Below are 26,799 nucleotides of genomic sequence, written 5' to 3' on the forward strand. Positions count from 1 at the left end.
CTTCCCTAGAGATTTTCCCATCTGTATTAATTAGTGATGGTCACAATTTAGTCTCCCTAACACAGTCGCCAGACTGGAACTGTAGAGCTACAGGAGACCCTGCAGACTTCTAGTAGACTGTAATCACCTGAGGGCCACGGTTAGCAGAGTGTCATCACGCGTTTGGCATCCTAAACAAACTCCGTTGACCAGGGCTTTTAGGGAAAACGGTGTTGGAGATGGCTGGTGGCGCAATACCTACCTTCCACCACTAGATGACAAACTTGCAACAGCGTGCTTCCAACAGGACGCCCACGTTTGACACGTTCCTGAGACGCTGGAGAAAACCGATTGCCAGCCCGGGCTGAAAGGAAACTTGAGAAATCACTTAGTCCGTCTCTTTGCCTTCAGACAAATGGAGTTTTTGTTTACTTTTAAAGACTCACAGCAATTCGTTCGCTTGCTTCAGTACCCCCACAAAGGTTTTGCAATGAGGGGTCATAGAGAGGACACTTGTGGACATGTGGGGACCTGGTCAAGTCACATCCCCACTCAACCTCAGTCCACAGGTTGCAAAATGAGGGAATCGATTAGATCATGGTTCATGTCCCTTCCAGCTCTCTGATACTAATCATTTAGCATTCAGCAACTCCCTCTCACTACAGTCAGCCTTAGTCCATTTGTTTCGTTTTGATCCTTATTGTATATGTGTGTTTAGAACCTCCAGCGGTGGGAAGCATTCATTCAAAATAAATTATTGAGTGCACAGCAGTAGGTACTTCAGGATATAAAAACAAAGTCATCTGTGGTCTCTCCCTCTATGAGTTTATACTCTACTTGAGGGAAAAAATATATAAGTGGAGCTGAACTATATTAAAAGACAAAATAATCGAAATGACACTAGGCAGTATATGTCTAAGGAGCAAGGGAGAGGTGTGGGACCAGGACACTAGGAGCTCAGAGGAGGAGGGGTGGTCAGGGAGGGCTTTAAGGAGGAGAGGTGGCAAGCTCTGATGGAATATCAATAGACAAGAACTCAGGGAGCGGGGCTCCAGTAAGGAGGCACAGGGTGCCTTCATCTTTGCCGACATAACCACAGTTCCTGCCTTTTAGAATTTGGGCAAAAAGAAGTAAAGAAGAATAAAAGAAGAGTGAGAAAAAGAACTGGAGAATGGGATGTGAGGCAAGGAAAAGGGAAAAAAGACAAGGTGGAGCGGGGAGCACCCATTCACTGTGGAGGGACATGTACCCGTTCAGAGGTAGAGAAGCAAAGTGAAACAATCTAAAGATAGGTCAGGGGCGGTGGCTCATGCCTAATCCCAGCACTTTTGGAGGCTGAACAGGGCTGATCCCTTGAGCCCAGGAGGTCAAGACCAGCCTGGGCAATGTGGCGAAACCCCGTCTCTACAAAAAATAGAAAAATTAGTCAGGCATGTCTGTAGTCCCAACTACACGGGAGACTGAGGCGGGAAGATCACCTGTTCCCCCCTGGGAAGGTTGAGGCTGCAGTGAGCCGTGATTGCGCCACACTGTGCTCCAGCCTGGGCAATGAAGTGAAACCCTGTCTACAAAAAAAAAAAAAAAATTCTGAAGGTGAGCTGAGAGCCGCTGATGGACATAAAGTAGTGGCATAGAGCTGTGAGAACAAAGCCAAGAAGGCATAAGTCTAAAATGAAATGAAAATGTTTATATGTTAAAACCAACAAATATATGCTTTTACTTACGTTCAGAGCAAGAAGAGCAGGAAGGGCACTGCCCTTTGTGCCAGCAGTGTGACATTAGTAGAACTCAACTTCTATTTTGACCTCAGTTCCATCTTTTCTGTCAAGGAGATTAATCTTCTGACTCTAAAACATGAAAATACGTAGCTTAGAGGGAACTGAGACCCAAGATAAAACAGGTTTCAGAGCAAATGGCCACATAATACGGATTCAAGAGTATTTGCCTAGAACAATCACCTGCTGGAAAGTACTTGGCTGAGAAATGGGGAAACAGCAACTTCTATAATGGGGAATTGTCCTACATTTTTTCTGGGTCACTTTGGGGGCAAATCCAGGATCAGTGGATGAAAACCTCAGAGATGTATATGTCAGATCCCTGCTAGGAAAAATTTAATGTCGATTAGAGGTTTTCTCAAATGGAATGGTCTACCTTGCGAAGTATTGAGTCCCATGTCGTGGTAGGTATTCAAGTGAACACTAGCAAATATTTCATGGGGCTTTTATGGAAGAGTTTGAACTAAAGATCTCTTCCAACCCTGAAACCTATGATTCTGTGGTTGTACAAGATTAGGGGAGAAAAGAATGAGTGCTTTCCCAGCTCACCTTCAGATTTTTTTTTTTTTTTTGAGACAGGGTTTCACTTCATTGCCCAGGCTGGAGCAGAGTGTGGCACAATCAAGGCTCACTGTAGCCTCAGCCTTGCTGGGGGGGAACAGGTGATCTTCCCACCTCAGTCTCCCACGTAGCTGGGACTACAGGCATACCTGGCTAATTTTTCTATTTTTTGTAGAGATGGGGTTTTGCCACATTGCCTAGGCTGGTCTCGACCTCCTCGGCTCAAGGGATTGGCCCTGCTCAGCCTCCAAAAGTGCTGAGATTACAGGCATGAGCCACCACACCTGACCTATATTCAGATTGTTTCACTTTGCTTCTCTACCTCTGAATGGGTACACATCACTCCAGAGTGAATGGGTGCTCCCCGCTCCATCGTGTCTTTCTTCCCTTTTCCTTGCCTCTATCCCATTCTCCAGTTCTCTTTCTCACTCTTCTTTTATTCTTCTTTACTTTTTACCCAAATCCTAAAAGGTAGAATCTGTGGTTATGTTGGCAAAGAGGGAGGCCCCTGTGCCTCCTGACTGGAACCCTGCTCCCAGGCTGGAGTACAGTGGCATGACCATAGTTCACTGCACCCTCGAACTCCTGGGCTCAAGCCATCTTCCTGCCTCAGCCTCCTGAGTAGCAAGGACTATAGGCATATGCCACCATGCTTTGCTAGTTAAACATTTTTTTTTTAGAGATAGGGTCTTGCTATGTTGCCCAGGCTGGGCTTGAACTCCTGGCCCCAGGTGATTCTCCTGCCTCAGCCTCCTAAAGTGCTGGGATTATAGGCATGAGCCACCATGCCCGGCCTAGAATTTCAATTTTGAGTACCATTCATTCTTTTTACAATAGAAACTGAGGTTCTTAACCATAGAAAACCATTGTAGGCATATTTCTGCTGTTTTTCCAAGGGGAGGATTTGTCCTTTTTGTTATATTTTCAAAGGGGTCAGAGGCCTAAAAAAAAAAAAAAAAAAAGGTTAAGAACTGCTGTTTCAGGGCCTTTGTGGGATACTGTTTATCTTTTTCCTGAATGTTTTGACATTGCATCTGGTGTAGCCAGTCTTCCTCTCAGGCTACCATGAACTCCAAGATAGCTCATCTCTTTCTCCCAGGACTCTCTTCACTTCCAGCTCTGCCCCCCGCCATTCTTTGGGTCACTCTTGGGTTTAAAGAGACAGTTCCACTTATAACTTTTACTCCTTTGTGGGGCCACTTAGATCTGCATAAACACCAAGCTCCTCTCAATCTTGTTCCAAACCCTGCTGGATCTGCAAGGGGCACATATCCCCTAGTAGGAACTGAGGGCGCACAGGCTTGCACACCACTGAGGCCACCTCTTTTCCTCTCTTCCTTTGTCAGGTTCTGATGGCCTCCACTGGGTGTCCTCCCTCAGATGGTCAGGTTCCCAGTAGATCTGAATCTTCCTGATGATCAGCACTTACTCACATGCCTCCATTCCTATCAGTTTAATTCCTTCCTTTCTTCCTTTCTTTATTTTATTTTATTTTTGAGATAGAGTCTTGCTCTGCTGCCCAGGCTGGAGTGCAGTGGTGTGATCTCAGCTCACTGCAAACTCTGCCTCTCGGGTTCAAGTGATTCTAGTGCCTCAGCCTCCTGAGTAGCTGGGATTACAGGTGCCTGCCACCACACCCAGCTAATTTTTGTGTTTTTAGTAGAGATGGGGTTTCACCATATTGGCCAGGCTGCTCTCAAACTCTTGACCTCAGATAATCCACCCGCCTCGGCCTCCCAAAGTGCTGGGATTACAGGTGTGAGCCACTGCACTCGGCCTAATTTTTCTGTAGAATTAAGTTCATTGTCAATGGAAGTGATTCTCCTCTCACAAATTTTTGGTCATACTCAAGAGAGTATGAGCAGTTCCTAAAAATCTCAATCATTTTGCATTTACATAAATCTTATATGATATTAGTTATTAGGGACAGAAGTGTCACTTTGTAACTGACAGATGTGATCGATGTAGGCACAGGGAATTGGGGGCATCCATGTCTCAGTTTTCTTTGTGATGTGTGAGACTTTGGTCTTGGTGGCCAAGAATTTGAAACTGCACATCTGCCTGAGCTGGTCTCAACTTCCTGGCCCTGGAGCTTCAAAGGAGATTCAATAATGGCCCCCTTGGCCCTACCTTCTCCCTTTCCATTTCCACCTACACTCTTCAGTAATCAGCTCAGTCTATCTGTGCTCTGTAGTCTAATGAAAAAAGCTAGAAGTTGGCTGGGTGTAGTGGCTCACGCCTGTAATCCTAGCACTTTTGGAAGCCCAGGTGGTGGATCACTTGAGGTCAGGAGTTCGAGACCAGCCTGGCTAACATGGTGAAACCCCATCTCTACTAAAAACACAAAAATTAACTGGGCATGGTGGCGCATGTCTGTAATCCCAGCTACCTGGGAGGCTGAGGCAGGAGAATCGCTTAGACCTGGGAGGTGGAGGTTGCAGTAAGCCGAGATCATGCCACTGCACTACAGCCTGGGCAATAGAGTGAGACTGTGTCTCAAAACAAACAAACAAACAAACAAACAAACAAAAGCTAGAAGTCAAAGATCCAGCATTAAAAGCTTGGTTACCAGTTGGAACGTGGAGAGAACTCTGTATAGTTAGTTTCATAATCATGTCCTTAATGCATTGTATTGCTGGTTTTGTTTTGAATTGGAACTTACTTTTTTTTTTTTTGAGACAGAGTCTTGCTGTGCATAGTTCATTTCAACCTCAAACTCCTGGGCTCAAGTCATCCTTCTGCTTCAGCTTCCCAAGGAGCTGGGACTACAGGTGGGTGCCACCATGCCTGGCTATTTTATTTTATTGTTTTACTTTTTGTAGAGATGGGGTCTTACTATGTTGCCCAGGCTGGTCTCAAACTCCTGGCCTCAAGCAATCCTCTTTCCTCAGCCTCCCAAGGTGCTTGGATTACAGGAGTGAGCCACCATGCCTGGCTAATTTCCTAATCTATAAACTGGGGATAATAGTCATACTGACCCAATTTGGTTATTAAGAAGATCAAATAATTTAAAATGTGTAAAGCACTTAAAACAGTGTCTGCAATATAGTAAGGACTCAATACACATTAGCTCTGTAGGGGAGGAGGGTATCTTAAGCAATGGGAATAACCTTAGCAAAAGAAGGAAAATGAAAGAACCATTATTCTTTTAGAAAACTCAAAAATAATAGAAATGGCTGGGTGTGGTGGCTCACATCTGATATCCCAGCACTTTGGGAGATCAGGGTGGGAGGATCACATGAGCCCAGGACTTCAAGACCAGCCTGGGCAACACAGTGAGACCCTATCTCTACAAAAAGTGAAGAAAAAAAAAAAGCCAATGTGGTGGTGTGTGTCTCTGGTCCCTGCTACTCCAATGGCTGAGGTGGGGGGATCACTTGAGCCTGGAAGGTCAGTGGTGCAGTGAGACTTGATTGTGCCTCTGCACTCCAGCCTGGGCAACAGAGTGAGATCCTGCACCCGACCAAAAAAAAAAAAGAAAGAAAGAAAGAAGAATAAAAAATGCCTAGAAGACAAATGGAGAGAGAAATACTGCTCATAATAGTAAGAGCACCTCCCTCTTCTGCATACTTCCCCTGTGCTTATGCTGTTTCAAGTGCTTTGTGTACATTATTCATTTACCCTTCCCAGAGATTCCTCATGAGGTAGGTGTGGTTATCCCCATTCTACAGATGAGAAAACTGAGGCTTCTGGAGGTTAAGTAACTCTCACCAGGGCACTCAGTGAGTGGGTGGAAGCTTCAGGAATCAGGCCCACATCAGCTCGCTGCCTGTGTTCTTAGCGCCATGCCTTATTGCCCTTTGCTTTCCTTGGCCCCACCCCAATTTTCTCTACCCAATGCCGTGAAGTAGGAAACAAAAACTACCTGGTTGTCCCTCACCACCAGTCAAACTTTTCACCTTGTCAAGTCACTTTCTCCTCCTGGGCTTCAGTTTCCTTTTGCAGTATAGGAGACAAAGGTGCTCTGGGATCCCTTCCAGCTCTTTTTCTCCCCTCTTCTCCAGCTTTGGTTACTCAGCCATCATGTACCATTTTGGCCACCAAATAACATGACACTAGGAATACTCAAAGAAGTGTAGAGCAAAGCATTCAGGCCTTGGTACAAACCTGCTAGCAGGTAAATAAATAAATAAATAAATAAATAAATCCGACCAACACTTAACAAAATTAGGGCAGAAATACTGAAATGATTTAGAGTACAGAAATGATCAGAGACTAGAGGTGAGTTAGGGACACTTCCCAGGGATTAAGAGCCAAAGAGACCTTAAATTAAAGGAAATGAGGAATGCTGCTTGCGGCTCCAGTTGGGAAGGTGGAATGAGGGGATGTGTCCTGGTGACCCTGTCCCCTGGTCCTTTCTTTGTGGCATCTGGTTGCAATGAGTCTTGTGGGTTGTGGGAGAAGAGATGGAGTGGGTAGGGAGTAGCAGGAGAGACAGTAAGTCACTTGTGTCATGTGATTTGTAACTCAGGTATACCTATTACTAAATTTCTTTTTTCCGTGAATGGGACTCAGATTATTTGGACTTGGTAGTGTTATTGGATCTTTGGAGTGTTGCTTTTCTGGTGGGAAACGTCTGTGGCCAACAGCGCCTTTGCCCAAGTTTTGCTCAGGCCTACTGGGCTTGTTCCACCCACTCGGCCTGGCAGGCCATGCTCCGCTCACATTATCGGCCTGAATCCCATGCCTTCAAGGGAGACTGCAAGTCAGACATGGAGTGGTAAGGGGTGCATGAGTGAGCATGGGGTCTAGCCACTGTGCGCAGTTGGACATGCCGGCTGCTGCCACAGGGTGGGCAGCTCCAGGTGGTAACATGGGTGCCAGCTCTCTGTGAGGCTGCTGCTGGACTGGGTGCACAAATAGCTTCCCTGGCTGGCAGTGGGGAATGCAGTGGCACCCAGAAGCTTGGAGATGCCAGGAACTGCAGGGCCCCAAAGAGGGAGTCACAGCCCTGGCTTGGGGAGCTCCCAGGTCTGAGATTCCTAAAGGGCCACAGATTTTCTCTCCTCTTTGCCCCCAATGGGGCAAGCAAGCGGCATGTTTCAGCACTGTTTGTGTTACAGCTCTTTTAGCCTTGCCATTTGGCAGGTCCTAAGTTATTGCCCTGCAACCAGGAAGAATGAGTACATAGACAAGTGGAGGGTGAGCAAGATGAAGAGGAGCTTTATGGAGCAACAGAACAGCTCAGAGGAGACCTGTAGTGAGCGGCTCCTCTCCATAGCCAGGGTGTCCCAATAAGTGTTCAGCTCTCAGCAGAGAGGGTAGCTCCTCTCTGCAGCTGGTCATCTCCTCAGCTCTCAGCAGACAGGAGACCCTGGGGTGGGCAGCTCCTCTGGGGAGGGCAGCTCCTCTCTGCAGCTGGTCATCACCTCCCTGGCTGTCATGCTTTCCCTCCTCTGCTCAGTCTGGCTGAGTCCAGGGTTTTTATGGGCTTCATAAGGGAGGAAGTGCATGCTGATTTGTCCATAGGTGGCTATGGGCAGGGTTCAGAGAAAAGCACTTCAGGTTCCCTCTCTGGTCTTGGACTGGCAGCTGCCCCCCACCCTGCCACTCCCTTGAAAGTGGAGCTTCACTGGGGACCCTCCCTCTTCCACCCAGGAGCCTGTCTGCCTCCTGTCCACTTCATGGTGCCCAGGCTGTTCAGTCAGCAGGCCAGCTCCGGGCTGTCCTCAGCACTCCCCTCAGCCTCCTTCCTGTGCTTGTTGGCACCCACAGTCCAGAGGGGACCAAGGCAGCAGGGGCCTGGTGTGTCAGCACTGCCTCAAGTGTGTGCATCCCAGGCAGGGCTGTGACAGTGCCCAGGCTAGGCCCTGGCCTTGCTCTGAGATCAGAGTGGGTGCCAACAGTGGGGAGAAGCCAGGCAGCGGGAGTAGGCACCCCCGAGCTTGCAGGGGGTAGAGGGACCTTCCTGGGCTCCCAAGAGTGCAGAAATGCCTGATTCCACAGGGCAGGGTGGCTGCAGCAGCACCTGGGGAGTTCCCACCCACCAACTTGGAAGGGGTGGGGCTTCTGCTAGTCCCTGGCTCCTGCTGGCTCTGTGGAGCGAGCGGCCCTGGCGGTGCCTCCTCACAGTCTGGAGTGAGGTCTTCAAGTTTTCACTGGGCCTGGGCCTGGGCCAGGCATCTGGTGTAAGGGTGTCATTGTCATGAGTTACCATGGCCCCAATGCTCAGGGATGGCCCAGGGCTCTCCCCCGCCCTGTCAGACCCTGCCCAGGGGTGCCTCCAGGAGTGACTTCGAGAGTGGATTGTAGGTCCTGAGCCCGGCCATCAGGAGTGTCAGGCTCGGTGGTCACCCTGATGTAGGGCAGATCCTGGGGATGCAGCCCCGGCAACCCTGCGCAGAGCCTCCTCTTGAGGCACAGGAACCCCTGCTCTCAGTGGGTTGGGCACGTGGCCGTACTGCTGGCTGGGTCTCTAAGCAGGGGCCGCTCCCGCTTTCCACCCCCGGTCCCCTAAGCACGGCCCCAGCTCTGCGCCCCAGGCCCCTCTCTGCACACCTCTCTGTGCCCAACTGCATTGTTCCCCTGCAGGCTGGTGACTGGGCCTGGCCCCATTGCGGTGGCCCCCAGGGCGGCGGGCTCTGGGGCAGCTCCCTGGGCTGGGCTCTGGGGACTGTCATCCTCCTCCCCACACCCTCCCCGCAGCCGCGGTGGGCAAGAGTGGCGACATGGGGGCAGGGTCAAAAGTGATGGAGGCTCCAGGCCTGGGGGTGGGTCCCACCCACGCCGTGTGATGGTGAGGGCGGTGCAGTCGGCTGCCTCGGGATGCAGGGCACATGGGACGTGGGGCGCAGGGGTCCCACCGCCGCCACTGCCACTCCCACAGCTGCTCCTGTCGCCACTGCTGGCTCCTCCCTGCTGCAGCTGGTGTGATGGTAAGCCCCTGCTTCGGATGGCCCGCTGCTGCCATCAGTAAGGATAGTCTTGCTACAAAATCACTCATATTTTTATGGTTTTTTTTTTAATTTTTAATTTTAGAGGCGAGGATTCGAACCTCTGAGTTCATGCCATCCTCCCATCTTAGCCTCCTGAGTAGCACATGCCACTGTGCCTGGCTAGCTCATATTTTTAAGGTACTTTTTTCCCCGTCTGTCTTGATGAAAAAATACAACTTAAAAAGTTGGCACAGATAAACAGAGCTGGGGCTTATATCTTATAACCTATGTAATTAATATCATAGCCAAACCTTCACATGCTTCCTTCCCATCCTCTGCCATATTACAATTAGATTTTGAGGGACTTTGGGAGTTCTATCCCCCTACCTTGAAGGGTATCCATGGTCACCTGCCACAGTGCCCCAAATATCCATTATTAATTACTTTTTGGGGGTGTAGGCATTGAAGGCTTCTGGGTATGGCTTGACTATTGAGTGTTTGGCCTCTGAAGCCAGAATGCCAGAGTTTAGAACTGGAGACTCCTCTTCCTTTCTGCACCTTGGCATCCTTCTCTCTAAAATGGGGATGAAAACAACACCCACCTCATTAAGGGATGTTGTGAGGATGTTACAAGGTAATATGTATGAGGCATTTATTAGAATAACACCTGGCCCAAAATGAGCCCTCAATAAATGTCAGATGTAAAGTTATCAACATTCTTGTCCTCTTAGCTTAAATCTTATTCAGTGCATTGCCTAGTAGAATTCTGAGGCACAACGAGTCCATTTTATGACCTGAGCAAAGGAAAGCGTTAGGAAACAGGGCATTCATTAACTAGAATGGTCTTAGGCTGAAAGTTTTACCATGTACAGAATCCTCTGAGCATTTAAGGGATCGGTGTGCAGGCAAAGAGTTCCTAGGGAAGGACCAAAGAATCAGGGTGAGGCAGACAGAGGATGGCGGTTGAGAGTAACTGCCCAGGGACGGGGAACACAGCCCTTGGGGTAGGCACAGGTATCTGAGTCCCTGAAGCGAGGAGAATGGAGCCAGAGGGGTGGAGAGGAGAGGGAGGAGGCAGGACCAGAGAGGCAGAGGAGCGCTCCTGCCAGGGGTCCTGTGCAGTGAAGGAGGTGAGGCCTCACGGCTGCTTCCTCAGGCCTCATGGCTTCCAGGCAGGTCTTACTGGGTTGGAAACACATAGGGCCATGGGGGAAGTGAGACATGCTTGCTAATCATACTTCCAGCTCACAGTCATCTCTCTGTTTGTCATCCTTTCAAGGAAAAGCTGTATCCCAAGGGCCCTCTGTTTAGCTCAGACCTTGGCCCAATGCCCAGGTTTTTCTGGTGCCACTATCATATCTCAGGATTCAGCCAGACATGGTTGGTAACTTCTTGTAATAGTCAAGACAGGAAGTGGTCAGGACCTGGAAATAGAGCAGCCCTTGGGGGTGGGTAGGACTGACCCAGCTCTGGGTGCCTCCTCAGGCTAGTGGCACAGAATTCCTGGACTTGGCCTGGGCTGCAGCGACGCTAGAGATAATGTCTTTATGGATTTCCCAATTTTATCTCAGACAATGGGAAATCTAGTAGTGTTTTATGACAAACAGGAATTTCTCCCATTATCATAGCAATGCTGACTTGAAACATTTGGGAGTGCCTGACATTCTATACCCACACTTACAGTAAGGGAGACAGTAGGTTGTAGGGTAAGCACTGAAGTCAGGCTGAACTTTTCTGAACCCCATCTTTGCCACTAACTCCCTGGTGCTCTTGAGCTAATTACCTCATCTCTCTGTGCCTCCATTTTTTCACTTGTAAAATCAGGATTTCCCCACGTATCTTACCGCAGACTAAAAAAAAGAAAAGTATGAAAGAATGCTTAGCATAGTATCTTGAACACACTAACCTCAAAATAAATGGCATCTAGTAAAATCATCATCATCATCATCATCACTGTCTCTTCGCCCACCAAGCTTCAGTTTGCACCTCTATAAAATGAGGATTGAGGGAAATAATCAATATTTGCAATATTTGTATAGAAGGTGGTATATGGTAGGTGTTCTCAAATTCTAGTTCCTTCCCATGGAGGAAAGCCAGACGCTGGGGAAGAGGACCTGGGTCAGCAGCTCATGTGCTGAGGGGAAGTGGGGTTGGGGGAAGGGAGGTCAGTCCCTGGCTGGAGTAGACCTGTGGAGTTAACCCCCTCTGCTGAGTAGAAATGTCGGGGACTGGACAATGGACTGGCACTGAATTCAGGCAGATTTGGGAGAACTGACTAGGTCCTGCTACTCCAGAGAAGCTGGTGAGTGGCAGGCTGGAGTAGTGAAAGCAGATAGCTGACAGTGTGGGTATTGGCTATAGCAAGGGCCTTCCTGAGTCCTCAGTGGCCCAAACTAGCCTCATGGTGTTCTAGATCCTAGGATTCCTCTGGAGCAATTGTTCTTTTTTTTTCTTATTATAGATATGTTTTTAAAAATTTCAATAGCTTTTGGAGTACAAGTGGTTTTTGATTATATGGATGAATTGTATAATGGTGAAGTCTGATATTTTACTGCACCCATCACCTGGGTAGTATATATTGTACCCAATATGTGTTTTTTTTATCCCTCAACCCCCTCAACCTTCCCCCTTCTGAGTCTCCAAAGTCCATTATACCACTCTGTTTGCCTTTGCATACCCATAGCTTAGCTCCCACTTATAAGTGAGAACATACAGTATTTGGTTTTCCACTCCTGAATTACTTCACTTAGAATGATGGCCTCCAGCTCCATCCAAGTTACTGCAAAATACATTATGTCCTTCCTTTTTATGGCTGAGTAGTATTCCATGATGTCTATATACCACATTTTCTTTTTTATTTTTGAGACCGACACTCGCTCTGTCGTCCAGGCTGGAGTGCAATGGTGCAATCTTGGCTCACTGCAACCTCTGCCTCCCAGGTTCAAGTGGTTCTCCTCCCTCAGCCTCCCGAGTAGTTGTGGTTACAGGTGTGCACCTCCATCCCCAGCTAACTTTTGTATTTTTAGTAGACACGGGGTTTCACCATGTTGGCCGGGCTGGTCTCGAACCCCTGATCTCAGGTGATCCACCCGCCTCGGCCTCCCAAAGTGCTGGGATTACAGGCATGAGCCACCATGCCCAACTACTACATTTTCTTTATCCACTCATCAGTTGATAGGTACTTAGGTTGATTCCGTATCTTTGCAGTTGTGAATTGTGCTGTGATAAACCTACGCATGCAGGTGTCTTTTTGATGCAATGACTTCTTTTCCTTTGGGTAGATACCCAGTAGTGAGATTGCTGGATGGAGTGGTAGATCTACTTTTAGTTCTTTAAGAAGGTGGAACAATTGTTGTTAACCCTAGAGGTCACAGACCCGTTTGAGAAGCTAGTGAAAACTAAGGAGCATTTCTATAGAAAAATGCATATCACACAAATGTTTGCATATTAGAGGGGCCTCACAGATCCCCAGGAACTCATCAAGGGACTTCAGGTGAAGAAACCTGGTGGACTTGTCCCAGCAGCACTAATTAAGCCCAAGGACTAGACACTAGATCCACCCGTGGGTTGGCACAGGGCACAGGACCTGATCCAGGAGCTGTCAGAGGATGCTCAGTTTGACTGGTAAAGACAGTACCCAGACAGTATGCAACCTCCTCCTGCCTCCATTCAGCCAACATTGTCCAGGGAGCTAGAGATGGGCAGCAACAATGAAAATCAGTAGGTATCCTGACTCGTAGGCAGAATGTGGGGGTAGATTAAACCAGCATAGATGAGTTGATCCTAAGAGGAAAAAATAGCTCTTATTTATTTGTTTATTTATTTACTTACTTACTTACTTTTAGAGATGGGGTTTCACCATGTTGTCCAGGCTGGTTTTAAACTCTTGGGCTCAAGGGATCCTCTCCTTGGCCTCCCACAATGCTCACACCTAAAATCTCCCACACAGGGATTATAGGTGTGAGTCACCATGCCCACCATTTATTGAATACTTATTACATGCTAATTACTGTGCTAAGTGGCTGAAGCAGTCCTCCCACCTCAGCCTCCCAAGTAGCTAGGACTACAGGTGTGTGCCAGTGCACCCAGCTAATTTTTAAACATTTCCGTAGAGATGAAGTCTTGCTTCGATTCTCAGGCTGGTCTTGAACTCCTGGGCTCAAGTGATCCTCCTGCCTCAGCCTCCCCAAGCACTGGGATTACAGGTATGAGCCATCATGTCCCTTCTAACTCTATTTCATAGATGAGGAAATGGAGGCTTAGGGCAGTCTAGTAACTTGCCAGGGTCCCTCAGCTAGGAAATGGAGGCTCTAGGATTCAAACCTGTCTTTTAAGAATACAAATAAGAAGGCTGGGCTCACAACTGTAATCCCAGCACTTTGGGAGGCAAAGGCGGGTGGATCACTTGAGGTCAGGAGTTCGAGACCAGCCTGGCCAACATGGTGAAACCCTGTCTCTACTAAAAATACAAACAAATTAGCCGGGTGTGGTGGTGGGTGCCTGTAATCCCAGCTACTCAGGAGGCTGAGGCAGGAGAATCGCTTGAACCCAGGAGGCAGAGGTTGCAGTGAGCCAAGATCGCACCATTGCACTCCAGCCTGGGTGACAAGAGCAAAACTCCAACTCAAAAAAAAAAAAAAAACCAAATAGGGAATGTCAGAGAGGGCTGAGAGAAATGTCTGGAGCCAGCTGCAAGTTTGAATTCACTGGAGCAGGGTCCCAAGGAGGGCGACGGGGGATTTAGAGGGATACTAGAACAGGAGCTTGGGGCCAGAAGCCAAGCAGTAGCTCCATTATTCCGGGGTTGGATGGGGAAGAGGCATGGATTGGTCTGAGATGGAGCATGGGCAGTGATGCCCTTTGTGGGCACAGAGCTTGAATCTAGGCTTGGCCAGGCAGTACCTTGTTTGCTGAGCTGGGATGGAAAGTCCTTGGCTTCACTTCACTTCTTTTCTTTTCTTTTCCTTTTCTTTTCTTTTTTTTTCTTTCTTTCTTCCTTCCTTCCTTTCTCTTTCTTCTCTCTCTTTTCTCTCTTTTTCTCTCTCTCTTTCTTTCTCTCTTTTTTCTCTTTCTTTCCTTCTTTCTCTCTCTCTCTTCTTTTCTCTCTCTTTCCCTTCCTTCCTTCCTTCTCTCCCTCCCTCCTTTCTTTTTTTTCTTTCTTTCTTCCTTCCTTTCTTTCTTTCCTTCTTTCTTTCTCTCTCTCTCTCCCCTTCCTTCCTTCTTTCCTTCTTTCCTTCCTTCCTTCCTTTCTTCTTTCTAGATTCACAACTGTTTAATATGTATAAAAGCCAAGGAAAGGACAGTCCTAGTTCAACAGAAATATTTTGTATAATTCATATGGTGTGGTTGAGAGGGAAGGGGAAGAGGTTACAGAACGCACACCCAACATGTACAAGATTAATTTACATAGCAACTGCCGCCTGCAGGGAGGATGTAGCTCTGCACAGCCCCCCAGGGCTGGGCACATTACAGCCACAGTACCGTGGGAGCCAGCCAGTGTAGGCCCCAGGTGTAGGTGAGAGTGAGGAGGGCACCAGGCCAGAGGAGAGGGAGGATGAGGAGGCAGTTGACCGCCCAGCACGAGATCAGCAACTCATCCATCACAGTGTGGGCATAGCCACGCTGGCTTCCCAGCTCCTTGTGGCTCAGGAGGTACATGCGGAAGTCCTGTTTCTCCATGTAGGTCACGGCTGCCATCAGTGGGCACAGGATGCGTTTGGTATGGCCCTGAGCTTCACACGTTTTCTTCTCAGCAGAGGAAGGGCTGCCTCACATGAGGATGAGGAAGGAGTTGCACTCCAAGACAGAGCACCAGGCCCAACCAGGCTCAAGTGCTAGGAGGGCCGGGCCTGTTGTTCTTTACTATTAAGGCCTCAGCATCCAGAGAAGCACCTGGCATGCTGCATATGCTTAGTACATGCTTATGAATGAATGTTGAATGCCAAGGCTGAGCTCATCCCTCCACAACTTCCTTGATAAAAAACTAGGGATAGTTTTCAAGTAGCTCCCCAGAGCCCATAAAGTCCAGGTACGCCATTTTTAGTCAGTGTGGACTCTGAAAAGCCCATTCTCCTGTAAGCCAAAAGAACAGCTGGGTCATCCCTTTCTCAATGGACAGAAGAGTCTCTGCCAAATGTGTAGGAGGAGAAGATTCTGAGCCACACTTGGTCTTCTCTGCAGTCTCTCTACAAATAACAATAATAATAACACATGCCTCTGTGCTTTCCAGATTCCAAAGGGCTTTCGTATATCCATGGTCTAATGGAACCTCATATCCATGTGTGTGTGTTGGGAGGGGGAAGGCTAAAATTGGGGGTGGGAAAAAGGCAGGAAACAGGCAGTGTATTTTTTACAGATAAAGAAGATGAATGTAGAGAGGATTTGGAGACTTTTTCAAGGTCATCTAACTAGTAAAAGATGAGGCAAGGATGTGAATCTAGACCTTTTGGCTCTTTGTACAAAGGGGAATTAAACATGACCATGAAGGTAAGAGGTTCGAGAAACGGCCACAAACCTGGCCACAAAACTTATAGTGGTGACAATAAGGAACTGAATAGGAGCAGGAGCTGCCCCGGGTTGGGGCAGACTATTAATGAGAACACAGGAAAAGCATACCTATTTTGGTATCAGCCTGGCACAGTGGGGCAAGGGACCAGATAATGTGACTCTTGCCTTGTAAACGGATCTTGGGAAAGATCTTCCACCTGCCATGCATTGGATACCCCTCCCTGGTCCTATCTGCTAGGGAGCATGGCACTTGGGCAAATCAAAGAGTGGACACTCAGGTCTCCCAACATATGTGCTGGATAGGTAGTCTGTTAAAATGAAAACGGTAAACAAATAGGAAGATACTCTTTTATTTGTTGAGAGCTTGCTAGGAAATATAAATAAGTCCTGGCACTCAAAACATCTTGCTGTCCAGTATTGGTAGAAGAGGTGGAGGTAAGTAAATAAGTAATCACAGAACCTTTGCTTTTGGCTATGGCAAAGTGACTAGTATGGGACTTGCTCTCCCACAGGAAACAACAAAACATTTTGAAAAAATATTTAAAGAACTCCTTTTAGAAATGGAGCAATAGGCAGAGCAGAATTATAATCCTTGAAGGAAGAGAGAACACATGAGCTCAACCCTATATCTGCCCAGCTTTCTGCATTGGGACATTTTCTGGGTTGCACTGCAATCCAGAAGCTCAAGAAGTACATGTTGGTCTCATTGGGCAGAAGAGGCATAGATTAGAATTCAGGGCTGCTGAGGAAGATGTAATTTGCAAGGAAGGCTTTTAGAGAGGAAGGAACTGAACACAGAGGTGCTCCCAGAAGTTTGCATGGGTGTTCTGCATGGTCTTTGGATGAGGGATGGGCTGATATACACAGGGTGAGACTCCCTAAGGTTTTTCAGAGAGCAGCTGAGAGCTGAACAGGTCACTAGAGGCTGTACATGGCTTGCAGATGTTGGAGTTTCGGCTTAGCCAGAATGAATAAATCTCATTGAGCAACTTGGGTCCTCAGATTACACTCCAGAAAATCCATGCCTTAGGAGGAAGGACCACGTTCAATAGTAAAAAAACACTCCTTGAAGGTATACAAGAAGCAAATAAACATATGAAAGATGCTCTACATCATATATCATCAGAGAAATATGAAGTAAAACAATAATAAAATGCTACTACACGCCTGTTAGAATGGCCAAAATCCGGAACACTGATGTCCACACAAAAATCTGCACATAGTGTTTATAAGCAGCTTTATTCAAAATTGCCAAAACTTGGAAGCAAGATATCCTTTAGTAGGTGAATGGGTAAATAAACTGTAGTACCTCCAGACAATGGGATATTATTCAGTGCTAAAAAGAAATGAGCTATTGAGCCATGAAAAGACAGGGAGGAACCTTAACTACATATTACTAAGTGAAAGAAGCCAGCCTGAAAGGACTATACACTATATGATTCCAACTATATGACAATCTGGAGAAAGAAAAACCCTGGAGACAGTAGAAAGGTCAGTCGTTTCCAGGGATTGGAGGGAAGGAGGGATAAATATTTAGAGCACAGAGAAGTTTTAGGGCAGTGAAACGATTCTAGGGGACTATAATACTATAATGGTAGATACACATATTTATAAATTTGTCCAGCCGGGTGCGGTGGCTCACGTCTGTAATCTCAGCATTTTGGGAGGCCAAGGCGGGCAGATCACCTGAGGTCAGGAGTTCGAAACCATCCTGGCCAACGTGGTGCAACCCCGTCTCCACTAATAATACAAAAATTAGCTGGGCATGGCAGTGGGTGCCTGTAATCCCAGCCACTTGGGAGGCTGAGGCAGGAGAATTGCTTGAACCCAGGAAGCAGAGGTTGCAGTGAGCCAAGATGGTGCCACTGCACTCCAGCCTGGGCGACACAGCGAGATTCTGTCTCAAAAAAAAAAAAAAAAAAATTGTCCAAACCCATAAAATGTATAACATCAAGGGTGAACTTCATGTAAACTGTGAATGTTGGGTGATAATGATGTGTCAATGTAGGTTCCTCAGTTGTAGCAAATGTACCACTCTGGTGGGGGATGGATAATGGGGGTTGCTCTCCATGTGTGGCGCAGGGGCGTGTGTGGGAACTCTGTGCTTTCCACTACATTTTGCTGTGAATGTAAAGCTGCTCTAAAAAAAATAAAGTATATTAAAAGTTAGAGTTAACTTGAAATGACATTTGATGAAAGAAATAGATTCTGGATCCACACGTTTTCTATGTAAGAATATTCTTTTGGCTAAAATTATAATTTAGAAACAATGAACAACAACAACAACAAGAAGAACAAGAAACCACACTTTAAGACCAAGGATAAAATTTAAAAAGGCCATTTCTGATGAAGAATAAAACTAAGCCTGACTAGATCAAGACAATCTGGTACTAATTTAACAGATTATTTATTTATTCATTTATTTTTAGAGACAGGGTCCCACTCTGTCACCCAGGCCAGAGTGCAGTGGCATGATATAGCTCACTGCAACCTCAACCTCCTGGGCTTAAATGATTCTTCTTCCTCGGCCTCCCAAACTGCTAGGATTGCAGGCATAAGCCACCATACTTGGCCTAACTGCTTAATAGGACAAAACTCAATACTCTTCAAGAAAAGACAACGTAAACTCAAAATCAGTAGTCCACAATGTTTCACTATAAAACCTAATATTACTAGACATGTCAAGAAGAAGGAAAATGGGATGCATAATTTTTTTTGTTACTTTTTTTTAAAGAGATGGCATCTTGCTATGTTGTTCAGGCTGTTTAAGAGATGGGGTGTTGCTATGTTGTTCAGGCTGGTCTCAAACTCCTGGCCTCAAGTGATCCTCCCACTTCAGCCTCCTGAGTAACTGGGATTATAGGTACATAGGGACCCATAATTTTTCCTGAAAAAGGAAATCAATAGAAACAAACCTTGAGATGAACTAGAATTAGCAAACTAGAATTTTAAAACAACTGCTGTAAACATGTTTAAGGACTTAAAGAAAAATATAGGCATAATGGTTGAAGAGATGGGGGAATATCAGCAGATAAATTGCCAGTATAGAAGAGAACTAATGGAAATTCTAGAACTTACAAGTATAATGTCTGAAAGGAAAATTCTCCTGGATAGGCATCACAGAATATTAGAGACTGCAAAAGAAAGGATTGAGAAACTTAAGAGATATCAATAGACTATTTAATCTGAAAGACAGAAAAAGTAATTTAAAAAAGACCTAAACTGCAGTGGTTTGTGGAATAAAATCAGATAGTCTAAAATATGTGTAATTGGAGTTTCAGCAGGTAAGCAGAGAGAAAATGTGTAGAAAATAGTATTTTGAGAAATAATGGCTAAAAATAACCTACATGTGAGGAAAAGTAAACCACTTATATATCCATAAATCACACCAGACTGTAAGCTAGATAAATAAAATAAAACAGCACCTAATCACCTTTTAGTTAAGCTGCTGAGAAACCAAAGATAAAGAAAGAGCTGGGCATGGTGGTGCATGCCTGCAATCCCAGCACTTTGGGAGGCCAAGGCGGGTGGGTGACCTGAGGTCAGGAGTTTGAGTCCAGCCTGGCCAACACGGCGAAACCCTGTCTCTACTAAAAATACAAAAATTAGCTGGGCGTGGCAGCGGGTGCCTGTAATCCCAGCTACTTGGGAGGCTGAGGCAGGAGAATTGCTTGAACCTGGGAGGCAGAGGTTGCAGTGAGCAGAGATTGCACCACTGTACTCCAGCCTGGGTGACAGAGCAAGACTCCATCTCAAAAAAAAAAAAAAGATAAAGAACTTAAAAGTAACTGGAGAAGGCTAGGCATAGTGTCTCATGCCTGTAATCCCAGGACTTTAAGAGGCCAAGGCAGGAAGATCACTTGAGGCCAGGAGTTTGAGACAAGCCTGGGCAACATAGGAAGACTCTGTCTCTACAAAGAATTTAAAAATTATCTGGATGTGGTGGTGTGTGCCTATAGTCCTAGATACTGAGGAGGCTGGAGTAGGAGGATTGCTTTAGCCCAGGAGTTCAAGGCTACAATCAGCTATGATCATGTCACTGCACTCTAGCCTGGGCAACAGAGCAAGATCCTGTGTCAAAAATGAAATGAAATGAAATAAAATAAAATAAAATAAAATAAAATAAATTGGGGTCATATCACCTAGAGAACATAAATCTTAGAAAGGATTTGAAAACTGTCTCCAAATAGATAGACGACATCTAGATGATGTTGAATAGAGTAGCTAGAGAAAAACCTGGGACAATTTGAGCAGCATAATAATGATAGTACTGGATTATCAGTCCTGCAATAAAATAAATATCTGTGAGTTTATACTGACATAAATAAACAAATTTTAAAGTGGAAGAGAAGGGACAGCTCTTCTTTACTGTTGAATGTTAATTAATAACTGTATAAGAAAAAGGAAAATAGAAAATCACTGTGAATCAAATGCCACAGTAATAATTGTTGCAGTTAAGAATCATCAATGGATGATAAAATTAGTGGGTGAAATTATGAAACCATTATGATATTTGCATAAAATTAAAGTATCCTCCCATTAAATATGTATTGATTACAAAGAGAAAAATGGTAGCTTTTTTTTTGTATTTTTTTACTTTTTATTATCCATCTGCTAAGGCCCTGTCATTCACAGAAATGGTAGCTTTATAGTGAATAAACCTGGCAGACACCACCTTAACAATGTGATCAAAGTAATAAGCCATATCAACATCATATACTCCTTGATATGATGTACTGAGAAGGCACAACATCATTTTTGTGGTATTATTGTCCAAAATGAGAAAACAACAGACAAGCCCCAAATAAACAAAATACTACAAAAAACTGGCCTAGACTTTTCTTTTCTTTTTTTTTCTTTTTGAGATGGAGTCTTCCTCTGTCACCCAGGCTGGAGTGCAGCGGTGCAATCTCGGCTCACAGCAACCTCTGCCTCCCAGGTTCAAGTGATTCTCCTGCCTCAGCCTCCCAAGTAGCTGGGACTACAGGCACGTACCACCATGCCCAGCTAATTTGTGTGTATGTGTGTGTATGACGGAGTCTTGCTCTGTCACCGAGGCTGATGTGCAGTGGTGTGATCTTGGCTCACTGCAACTCCGCCTCCCAGGTTCAAGCGATTCTCCTGTCTCAGCCTCCTAAGTAGCTGGGATTACAAGTGCCTGCCATGATGCCTGGCTAATTTTTTGTATTTTTGGTAGAGATAGGGTTTCACCATGTTGGCCAGGCTGACCTCAAACTCCTGACCTCAGGTGATCTGCCCATCTTGGCCTCCCAAAGTGCTGGGATTACAGGTATGAGCCACCACGCCTGGCCCTTTTTTGTATTTTTAGTAGGGATAGCGTTTCGCCATCTTGGCCAGGCTGGTCTTGAACTCCTGACCTCAAGTGATCCACCTGCCTTGGCCTCCCAAAGTGCTGGGATTATAGGCATTAGCTACCACACCCGGCTGGCCTAGACTTTTCAAAAGTGTCAAAGTGATGAATGAGAAAGACTGAGAAAATGTCACAGATTGAGGCCAACTAAGGAGACATGATGACTAAATACAATGGATTAGATCCTGGACCAGAAAAAGAACATTAATGGGAAAAAAAATGGTAAAATTCAAATTCTGTAGCTAGATGAATTGATAGTATTATATCGATGTTAATTTCCTGTGTTTGATAATTATGATGTAGAAATGTAAGATGTGAACGTTAGGGGAAGCTGGGTGAAGGACATAAGAAAACTCTCTTTAGTATTTTGTAACTCTTCTGTAAGTATTAATGATTTCAAAATAAAAAGTTAGGGAAAAAAATCCAGGAGGAGAAGAAAGAGAAACAAGAATATAAAGGATGGCAGACTTCTCACCAGAGATGATGGAGACAGCAAACAGCAGACCATCTTTAATGTACTTGAAGAGACAAGTCTCAATCAATTTAGAAGTTTATTTGGCCAAGGTTAAGCACATGCCCATGACATAGCCTCAGGAAGTCCTGAAGACACGTGCCCAAGGTGGTCAGGCTACAGCTCAGTTTTATACATTTTAGGGAGACAAAAGACATCAATCAATACATGTACATTGAACATTGGTTCAGTCCAGAAAGGCAGGACATCTGACACAGGGACTTCCAGGTTAGAGACGGATTCAAAGATTTTTTCATTGGCAATTGGTTGTAAGTGTTATTATCTAAAGACCTAGAACCAACAGAAAGGAATGTCTGAGTTAGGATAAAGGGTTGTGGAGACCAAACTTTTATCATGCAGATGAAGCCAGAGGCTTCAGACAGAATAGACTGTTAATGTTTCTTATCAGACTTAGAGAGTCTATTCTATCAGCCTTAAGGTCTTTGTGTTGATGCTAATGCTGGTCAGCTGTGAGGCATATTCAACCACCACCCCCCCTCCACCTTCCCCAAACCTGCTTCACATCATGGTCTGAACTAGTTTTTCAGATTAACTTTGGAATGCCCTTGGCTGAGAGGAAGGGTTAGTTCAGACAGTTGTGGGGGGGCTTATAATGTTATTTTTAGTTTACAGGTTCTTACAATTTACATAGAATTGTTCAATATTAATTCAACATAGGCTACTGTATGATAAGTTAAGGAGGAATATTGTAATACCTAGAGCAAACACACACACACACACACACACACACACACACACATGCAAACGAGGTGTAGCTAGGAAGCCAGTAGAGAAAAAAAAATTATCCCAAAAGAAAGCAGAAAAAGAGAAACAGAGAAACCAGCCAAAAAGATAGAACGAATAACAAGATAGTAAATGTAAACACAACCATCAATTACTATACTAAATGTGAATGGACTAGCTCCTTTGCCTTCCCTGGGGCTGGGAGTGCAGGATGGACTCACTTGCACAATTATGTCATGTTTGCTAGGGCTTGGGCTAGGGTTGTGGACTTAGCATACTTGCTGAGGCCAGTGCCCACCCCAAGTGGTTGCTGACAGCAGGGATAGGCTAAGGAGACACCTAAGTGGCTGGAGATTGGTTTTATATATATGGGAATGGAGCAGATAACTAAATACTTAGGCAGAGATGTAACCAGGCCATGTGACCTGAACTTTGCTCCAGGGCATTGACACTGCTGTTAAAATGCTTCTGGCCTAGAGGCCCTCTGCAGCCAGGGGAGGTAGATGGAGCTTCAGCCTGAAAACCCAGGTCAGAGGGCCCAAGTACCCTTTGCAGAGCTGGCTTTTCCCCTTGCAAATTGCTAGTGACGCTTCAGCTGATGTGTGTTACTATTAAGGTCCTAGTGTTTGGGAGGGTGGGGCAGGAGGTGGAGGATTGTCAGAAAAAAATTACATGGAAAAAGATGGCATCTGAGATGTTTTGAAAGATAAGTGGAATTTTCCAAGTGGAAAAAGGAAGGAAAATCAGTCAGATAGGAAGGCATGGAGCATTGGGGAATGACAAGTATCTTCTTGGACTAGGGTGGGAGATGGGCTGGAGAGATGGGTCAGGGCCAGTTGTCTGGCATCTTGTGTGTCTCAGAAGAGGGTGGGCACGCTGCGTAGGGAAGCCCAGGGCCACTCTGAAAGCCCTAAAGGGGAACTGATGCCTCTGGCCTTGTTTTTATCACCATCAGGACTACCCATTGAGGCAGGCTGCACTACCAGCTACTTCCTGGTGCCCTCTTGCTCATAGCCATAGTATTTTGCCTCTCTGAGCTTCCAGAGGTTTTAAGTCTGGGGAAGACCCAGGGACTCAAAGAAAGATTGGGGTGGGAGATAAGGGGCCACAGTTTGGGGGAGTCAGGCAGGAGGCCTTTGAGGAAAATAGATAAAGTCCCAAAGCCTGTGAGTGTGAATTTGGAGGCAATATGCTGTGTTCTGAAACGTTTTCAGACACTGGCTAGGTGCAAGCAAGTGTTTGTAGGGCGAGGCTCTTCATGGACCTATCACTGCTTACGCAAGCTTGGGATGTGGTCTTGCCCTCAACAGGTAGGTAGTCTACCGGAAAACCAAACTAAGGCAAGAAAAAAATTAGTGAATAATAAAGGACTGAACCGGTTCAGAGAAGGCATTCAGCAGATGTTTGCCAGTCAAATGAATTAAAGTGTGAATGAATGAAACTCGAGGTAGTGGGTGAATGTGTCCCAAGAATCCAGCGAAACAGGGTCTCCCAGGAGGCGGGACTGGAAGGGTCCGGAGAGGGGCCACAGGCTCCTGGCCTTTCTAAGCACACCAAGTGCCCAGTCGCGGACCCCCGGGACCAGGATGCGCTGACGACCCGGCTGGCAGGCGGGTCCTCGTGGGCGAGGCGAGGGAGGCGGCGAGAGAGGAGCAATAGTTTCCCACCGCTCCCTCTCAGGCGCAGGGTCTAGAGAAGCGCGAGGGGATCTAGAGAAGCCGGAGGGGAGGAAGCGCGAGTCCGCGGCCCGCCCCGTTGCGTCCCACCCACCGCGTCCCCTCCCCTCCCCTCCCGCTGCGGGAAAAGCGGCCGCGGGCGGCGGCGCCCACTGTGGGGCGGGCGGAGCGCCGCGGGAGGCGGACGAGATGCGAGCGCGGCCGCGGCCCCGGCCGCTCTGGGCGACTGTGCTGGCGCTGGGGGCGCTGGCGGGCGTTGGCGTAGGAGGTGAGTGAGGCTCCGGCTCGGCAGCGTCGCAGCTGCCCCAGGATCTGCGCCCCGGTCAAGTTGCGGACTTGGAGCCGGCAAACGCGGAGGGCTGGTCCCGCGCGTCTGCGCTGGGAATGCGCGTGTCCTGGCTGGCGCGGTCGGAGCCGGGAGCTGGGGACCTTCCTGGCCCGGCGGTGGCGGGGCTGAGAGGTGCCTGGTGCCTGGGAGCGGGTCCTCCGAGACGCCGAAGCCATCAGCCAGGCTGAGCGCCTTCCCGGCCGCCGCGGCGCGCACGGTGCGGTGGGCGCATCTCTGAGCCCCGCGCTCACCCGGGGCTGCGCGCGTCGCGGGTGGTCCTGGTCGGGCCAAGGACGACTGGCCCAGGAGCCAAGGCGAGGTGGGGCTTCCGGGGGTTGTTCCCGCGCCTTGGCAGAGGGATGCCGCTGTAGCTTCCTGGGTGAGAGCGTGCGCGCGCGCGGGTTTGCCAGTTTCCCCACATTTCCAATTTCTCCTGTTACGCTTTCTCCAGAAGGTTTTTTCTTTTCCTTTTTTCTTTCTTTCTTTCTTTTTTTTACCTTCAACTTGGCTTCCTGCGGGGTTGTTTTGGAGCAGGATGAGGGCTTTGCCTCCTCCAGTGTCCCCAGGTGGCAGCGGTGCCTCTGCTCCCAGGGCAGACCCTGCACCCGAAAAATCTCTAGTGTATTCGGGGAGCCATGAAAAGGCTCCCTTGGGCCGGTGGGATCCTTGGCTTTGTCTCTGGCTGCTGCGCACACCGTCAGCCGTCAGGGCAATTGGCATTCGGCCTCTTTGGTACTGGGGACACAGGTGGAGGGATGGAGCGGGCACAGCCCGGGGTTGCTGCCCGTGGTCCTCTCTGAGTCCTTGGTGATTTTGCCTGGGCTGGAGAGAAACCCTGGCTCCTGGTCTGCTGGGGCCGCCTCTGCCTCAGAGGATGACACAAGAGTGCATGTAAGTATTTTTAATAAAAACTGTAGTACTCGTAAAACAATCTACACCCTGCAGAAGGGATTTGTTATTTTATTTTATTATTTATTTATTTATTTATTTATTTTTGAGACGGAGTCTTGCTCTGTCGCCCAGGCTGGAGTGCAGTGGTGGGTTCTCGGCTCACTGCAACTTCTGCCTCCTGGGTTTAAGCGATTCTTCTGGCTCAGCCTCCCGAGTAGCTGGGATTACAGGCGCCTGCCACCACGGCCGGCTAATTTTTGTATTTTTAGTAGAGACGCGGTTTCACCATGTTGGCCAGGCTGGTCTGGAGCTCCTGGCCTCAAGTGATCCGCCCACCTCAGCCTCCCAAAGTGCTGGGAATACAGGCGTGAGCCACCGCACCTGGCCAGGATTTATTTTAAAAAGGGAAGATTTGTTGATAAATTCACTTCAAAGATAAACTATTCGAAAATACTTTAGTGATTCCCGTCAAGACTCTTCTGTGTATGTATAGACGTATAACTCATTCTGGACAGGGCAAGGATATCTTTTTTTGTTTGTTTGTTTGTTTTGAGATGGACTCTCGCTGTCGCCAGGCTAGAGTGCAGTGGCGCGATTTCAGCTCACTGCAACCTCCGCTTCCCGGGTTCAAGGGATTCTCCTGCCTCAGCCTCCCGAGTAGCTGGGATTACAGGCACGCACCACCACGCCCTACTAATTTTTGTATTTTTAGTAGAGACGGGATTTCCCCATGTTGGCCAGGATGATCTCGATCTCTTGACCCCGTGATCAGCCTGCCTTGGCCTCCCAAAGTGCTGGGATTACAGGCGTGAGCCACCGCACCCGGCCAAGGGTATCTTGAAGGAGGGATTACAGTTGATATGTAGAGGAATATTGCAGTGGTTATTGCTGCATTTCCTATGTGACTGGGACTAAAACAGATCAGCTGATAGTGTTAGCGTGCAGTGAGCAGTCTGATGACTATGACACAGAAATAAGAATCTCCAGCATTCTGCCCTGGGACATGTGGAGCCTTGGGTCAGATGCTGCTGGCTATTGATGCCGGGAATGGAGAAATCCACCAGGGCAACTCAGTAAAAATAAATAAATAAATAAATAAATAAATACATAATTAAAAAAAGGGTATCCTTGTCCTGTCCAGGATGAGATGCTTGCTTCCATGCACTTACGACAATTTTTGCTGTCATTAAAAAATTTTCACATTCACAGTCTTCTAAATTCACTTTGGAGTGTATTGGATTCCACTGCATTGACATACGTAAGTTTGCATTAAAAGATCCTTTAAGATATCTGGTCAGGCACGGTGGCTCACGCCTGTAATCCCAGCACTTTGGGAAGTGGAGGTAGAAGGATTGCTTGAGCCCAGGAGTTCGAGACCAGCTTGGGCAACATAGTGAGACCTAATCTCTACTAAAAATTAAAAAAAAATCCTTAGGCGATCTGTTCACAGATTAATCTTGTGATTGGGGCGATTCCAGAAGTGGTAATGGGTTGTGCTGAGCTAGCCCCACACTCTCTCTGAGAAGCAGTGTACAGTAGTGTTTAAGGGCAGGGGCTCTAAAGTCAGACTTCCAGAGTAAT

The 26,799-nt window shown here is 47.1% G+C and overlaps 1 protein-coding gene across 1 annotated transcript in view, besides 4 other annotated features; it reads left to right on the top strand.

Moving 5' to 3' along the window:
* Positions 132 to 181: an enhancer, noted in NCBI's record as "active region_12305". NCBI's record gives its function as "activates an Ori minimal core promoter by ATAC-STARR-seq in GM12878 lymphoblastoid cells {active_cell/tissue: GM12878}" and the evidence as "EXISTENCE:reporter gene assay evidence [ECO:0000049][PMID:35858748]".
* Positions 7,627 to 8,563: an enhancer, noted in NCBI's record as "H3K27ac-H3K4me1 hESC enhancer chr17:45314666-45315602 (GRCh37/hg19 assembly coordinates)". NCBI's record gives its function as "activates a minimal SCP1, AML or CMV promoter by ChIP-STARR-seq in primed H9 embryonic stem cells {active_cell/tissue: H9 hESC(primed)}" and the evidence as "EXISTENCE:reporter gene assay evidence [ECO:0000049][PMID:30033119]".
* Positions 8,564 to 9,500: an enhancer, noted in NCBI's record as "H3K27ac-H3K4me1 hESC enhancer chr17:45315603-45316539 (GRCh37/hg19 assembly coordinates)". NCBI's record gives its function as "activates a minimal SCP1, AML or CMV promoter by ChIP-STARR-seq in primed H9 embryonic stem cells {active_cell/tissue: H9 hESC(primed)}" and the evidence as "EXISTENCE:reporter gene assay evidence [ECO:0000049][PMID:30033119]".
* Positions 23,949 to 24,208: a silencer, noted in NCBI's record as "silent region_8624". NCBI's record gives its function as "represses an Ori minimal core promoter by ATAC-STARR-seq in GM12878 lymphoblastoid cells {active_cell/tissue: GM12878}" and the evidence as "EXISTENCE:reporter gene assay evidence [ECO:0000049][PMID:35858748]".
* Positions 24,154 to 26,799, top strand: part of ITGB3 (integrin subunit beta 3) — a 59,917-nt gene continuing 57,271 nt past the window's right edge. Inside the window, exon 1 of the mRNA NM_000212.3 lies at positions 24,154 to 24,267. Within this exon, the coding sequence (NP_000203.2) occupies positions 24,189 to 24,267 (79 nt within the window). The 5' untranslated portion in view covers positions 24,154 to 24,188. The remainder of the gene's footprint in view (positions 24,268 to 26,799) is intronic.

The sequence above is a fragment of the Homo sapiens genome, chromosome 17 (assembly GCF_000001405.40).
Source record: "Homo sapiens chromosome 17, GRCh38.p14 Primary Assembly".
Classification (NCBI taxonomy): Eukaryota; Metazoa; Chordata; class Mammalia; order Primates; family Hominidae; genus Homo; species Homo sapiens.